The following is a 5134-nucleotide window of genomic DNA, read 5'->3' on the forward strand; positions in this document are numbered from 1 at the left end:
GGTATTGTCTGTGTTTTTGTTTGTTTTTTTAAGACAATATTGTCTGGTCTTTAAACAGACATCTAGCACCTATAATGCCTTCAGGTATATAGAAAGAGAGAAAAGAGAACAGTGTACAGGCAGGCACTTAGTCTAATATAAGTCTTACAGACTTGTGAAGTGATGGCTCCTATTTTGCAGATTAGAAAACTGAGGCTCAGAGAAGTTAAGTAATTTGCTCTAGGTCACTCAGCCCTTATTGCCAGTAAGGGGCAGAAGAAGGATTTGAAAAGAGAATGTTCTGACTCCAAAAATCCACTCTCTTACCATTTGTATTTTTTCAAAGAACCTGATTTGTAATAGGGAAGATATGTACATACACAAGTGTAGTCCTGGGTGATAGGTGATTGCTGCCCCAAGGGAGGTGGATATAAGGAATCTTGAATAAGGAACAATTAATTTAAACTGGATTTTGAGGAGGGTGCATAGGCAGGAATGATTAAAGCAGTCTAAGGAACAGTCAAATGTAATATTTTACAAAGAACAGAGAAAAATGGTTCAATAAGAGTTTTCTATGCGTTAGGTAATGTTCGGAGAATATAAAACAAATTTAAAAATAAAGATTATAGTCCCTCAAGTAGAAAAAAAAATGAAGAAAAGGTCAGATTAGGGCCAAATCTCATGAACTTTTTATACGAAAAAATGCAAAATGTCTCTATACATTTCAGATCAAAATCACATTAACGCTGTTATAAGGGGCAGGCTATTTGGTAGTCTGTGTGTTATTTATTTAATATAATAAAGTACAGCTTTATTATACTTGTTTTGCTTCTCTAAAGAGTTTCAGTGTCTAATCCCAGCATCATCACTCAGGCCTTTACCCTTCCAGAATGGAAGAATTCAAGCCCACACATTTTCCTATGTGGGGGCTTTTCCAATGAGGTATTTGATGTTCTCCAGTCTTGATATTTCTATTTCTCTGGCTATTTCCATTAGAGAATGGGGCAATATATGGCTATACTTCTGGGACCCTGTAGAAAACTGAGTTCTTAGACCCCTAGTTTATCTCTGTTAATGCACAGTAGGCACCATTATAGAAGTTGGCTTTTTCATTTCTTTCTTGAAATACGTGTGGAAAAGCTACATTCGCTGTGACATACTTTCGCTTTCTCACGTCTGACACATCAGCTGGCTTTTCTGGTTGTGGCAGTAAAGTCACTAGTAGACTGCTAACTACCACGTGTGTCATACCCCCTGCTTCTCCTTTTACTATGCAGAATTTTACTATTAAACAAGAAGCTATTTTTAGTTGCTTAGCATTGTTTGTGACTTAGCCTCTTAGACTCAAGAGTGGCCCAAGTCCTTTCAAAGGGCAACCCCCATCCCTGAAGCTGCCTACCTAAGAGATTGCTCACTGTGTTGCACATATTGTCACTCCATCAAAGCTGACTTTCCAGGACTCTGCTTCCCATAAGTTTCTTCTTTCTGACCCTCTTTCAAAGTTTTGTAAAACTTTAATTTGGTCTGTAGCTTGATACCTATATTAATTCATCTCTTGTCAGTTTCTGTAAAGGCCTCTTGGGTTTTCAAGATTCAGTTCTGTTTCTTTGAAATTAGGAACGTGTTGGACAATTTCCACACCATCCAGAGATAATTCAGCTAGAAGCTCTGTGTTTCCTGTAAAAATCTGAATGAGCTCGGACATAGCTTGGTGATGCATTTGTCTTTATCAGCCCTATGGCCCTCCATAATGAAACACCACTTTTGTAAATCTGTTTATGATCACAGTTATGTCTCTGTGGTGTGTGCTCTTCCATGTGGCAAATTTTAATAATGTTCATAACCTTTTGGGATTGAAGAATTATTTCCATGGTACTTTCAATTTTGCAAAGTATTTTCAAATTTATTGTCTTGTATAGTCACATTTTACTGATAAGAAATTTGACATTTACAGAGGTTAAAGTGGCTTACCCAAGATCACATTCTTAATTAGTGGTGAAGTTAGAGCAAAAACTCAAAGCCTCCCTGACCCCTCATAATCTCATCTTTTTTCCAGTGTAAAATAGTGATAATAAATTCTGGACCCATTAGGCTACATAGAGTAGGATGAATGAGATTGTGCCCACTATTCCATCTCACTTCACTCTGTCGGTGGTAGCTGATGATTCAAGGAAGGCATCATCCATCTTCACCTAAACAACAATTTGAGTATCCTTAGGATTTCTTTTTTACTTTATTTATTTATTTTAATTATACTTTAAGTTTTAGAGTACATGTGCACAACGTGTGGGTTTGTTACATATGTATACATGTGCCATGTTGGTGTGCTGCACCCATTAAATCGTCATTTAACATTAGGTATGTCTCCTAATGCTATCCCTCCCCACTCCCCCCACCCCACAACAGGCCCCAGTGCGTGATGTTCCCCTTCCTGTGACCATGTGTTCTCATTGTTCAGTTACCACCTATGAGTGAGAACATGCGGTGTTTGGTTTTTTATCCTTGCGATAGTTTGCTGAGAATGATGGTTTCCAGCTTCATCCATGTCCCTACAAAGGACATGAACTCATCCTTTTTTATGGCTGCAAAGTATTCCATAGTGTATATGTGCCACATTTTCTTAATCTAGTCTATCATTGTTGGACATTTGGGTTGGTTCCAAGTCTTTGCTATTGTGAATAGTACCACAATAAACATATGTGTGCAAGTGTCTTTATAGCAGCATGATTTATAATCCTTTGGGTATATACCCAGTAATGGGATGGCTGGGTCAAATGGTATTTCTAGTTCTAGATCCCTGAGGAATCGCCATACTGACTTCCACAATGTTGAACTAGTTTACAGTCCCACTAACAGTGTAAAAGTGTTCCTATTTCTCCACATCCTCTCCAGCACCTGTTGTTTCTTGACTTTTTAATGATCGCCATTCTAACTGGTGTGAGATGGTATCTCATTGTGGTTTTGATTTGCATTTCTCTGATGGCCAGTGATGATGAGAATTTTTTCATGTGTCTTTTGGCTGCATAAATGTCTTCTTTTGAGAAGTGACTGTTCTTATCCTTTGCCCACTTTTTGATGGGGTTGTTTGTTTTTTTCTTGTAAATTTGTTTTTTTCTTGTAAATTTTGTTTTTTTCTTGTAAATTTGTTTTTTTCTTGTAAATTTGTTTGAGTTCATTGTAGATTCTGGATATTAGCCCTTTGTCAGATGCAAAAATTAGCCCTTTTGTCAGATTGCAAAAATTTTCTCCCATTCTGTAGGTTGCCTCTTCACTCTGATGGTAGTTTCTTTTGCTGTGCAGAAGCTCTTTAGTTTAATTAGACCCATTTGTCAATTTTGGCTTTTGTTGCCATTACTTTTGGTGTTCTAGACATGAAGTTCTTGCCCATGCCTATGTCCTGAATGGTATTGCCTAGGTTTTCTTCTAGGGTTTTTATGGTTTTAGGTCTAACATTTAAGTCTGTAATCCATCTTGAATTAATTTTTGTACAAGGTGTAAGGAAGGGATCCAATTTCAGCTTTCTACATATGGCTAGCCAGTTTTCCCAGCACCATTTATTAAATAGGGAATCCTTTCCCCATTGCTTGTTTTTGTCAGGTTTGTCAAAGATCAGATGGTTGTAGATATGCAGTATTATTTCTGAGGGCACTGTTTTGTTCCATTGGTCTATATCTCTGCTTTGGTACCAGTACCATGCTGTTTTGGTTACTGTAGCCTTGTAGTATAGTTTGAAGTCAGGTAGTGTGATGCCTCTAGCTTTGTTCTTTTGGCTTAGGATTGACTTGGCAATGCGGGCTCTTTTTTGGTTCCATATGAACTTTAAAGTAGTTTTTTCCAATTCTGTGAAGAAAGTCATTGGTAGCTTGATGGGGATGGCATTGAATCTATAAATTACCTTGGGCAGTATGGCCATTTTCACGATATTGATTCTTCCTACCCATGAGCATGGAATGTTCTTCCATTTATCTGTATCCTCTCATTTCATTGAGCAGTGGTTTATAGTTCTCCTTGAAGAGGTCCTTCACATCCCTTGTGAGTTGGATTCCTAGGTATTTTATTCTCTTTGAAGCAATTGTGAATGGGAGTTCACTCATGATTTGGCTCTCTGTTTGTCTGTTATTGGTGTATAAGAATGCTTGTGATTTTTGCACATTGATTTTGTATCCTGAGACTTTGCTGAAGTTGCTTATCAGCTTAAGGAGATTTTGGGCTGAGACAATGGGGTTTTCTATATATACAATCATGTCATCTGCAAACAGGGACAATTTGACCTCCTCTTTTCCTAATTGAATACCCTTTATTTCTTTCTCCTGCCTGATTGCCCTGCCAGAACTTCGAACACTGTGTTGAATAGGAGTGGTGAGAGAGGGCATCCCTGTCTTGTGCCAGTTTTCAAAGGGAATGCTTCCAGTTTTTGCCCATCCAGTATGATATTGGCTGTGGGTTGGTCATAGATAGCGCTTATTATTTTGAGATACGTCCCATCAGTACCTAATTTATTGAGAGTTTTTAGCATGAAGGGCTGTTGAATTTTGTCAAAGGCCTTTTCTGCATCTGTTGAGATAATCATGTGTTTTTTGTTGTTGGTTCTGTTTATATGCTGGATTACATTTATTGATTTTCGTATGTTGAACCAGCCTTGCATCCCAGGAATGAAGCCAGCTTGATCATGGTGGATAAGCTTTGTGGTGTGCTGCTGGATTCAGTTTGCCAGTATTTTATTAAAGATTTTTGCATCGATGTTCATCAGGGATATTGGTCTGAAATTCTCTTTTTTTGTTGTGTCTCTGCCAGGCTTTGGTATCAGGATGATGCTGGCCTCATAAAATGAGTTAGGGAGGATTCCCTCTTTTTCTATTGATTGGAATAGTTTCAGAAGGAATCGTACCAGCTCCTCCTTGTACCTCTGGTAGAATTTGGCTGTGAATCCATCTGGTCCTGGACTTTTATTGGTTGGTAAGGTGTTAATTGTTGCCTCAATTTCAGAGCCTGTTATTGGTCTATTCAGAGATTCAGCTTCTTCCTGGTTTAGTCTTGGGAGGGTGTATGTGTCGAGGAATTTATCCATTTCTTCTAGATTTTCTAGTTTATTTGCATAGAGGTGTTTATAGTATTCTTTGATGGTAGTTTGTATTTCTGTGGGATCAGTGGTGAT

General features: G+C 38.0%; 1 annotated feature.

The window, feature by feature from the left end:
* Nucleotides 1151-1210: an enhancer, noted in NCBI's record as "active region_21874". NCBI's record gives its function as "activates an Ori minimal core promoter by ATAC-STARR-seq in GM12878 lymphoblastoid cells {active_cell/tissue: GM12878}" and the evidence as "EXISTENCE:reporter gene assay evidence [ECO:0000049][PMID:35858748]".

Source organism: Homo sapiens, chromosome 4 (genome assembly GCF_000001405.40).
Source record: "Homo sapiens chromosome 4, GRCh38.p14 Primary Assembly".
NCBI lineage: Eukaryota > Metazoa > Chordata > Mammalia > Primates > Hominidae > Homo > Homo sapiens.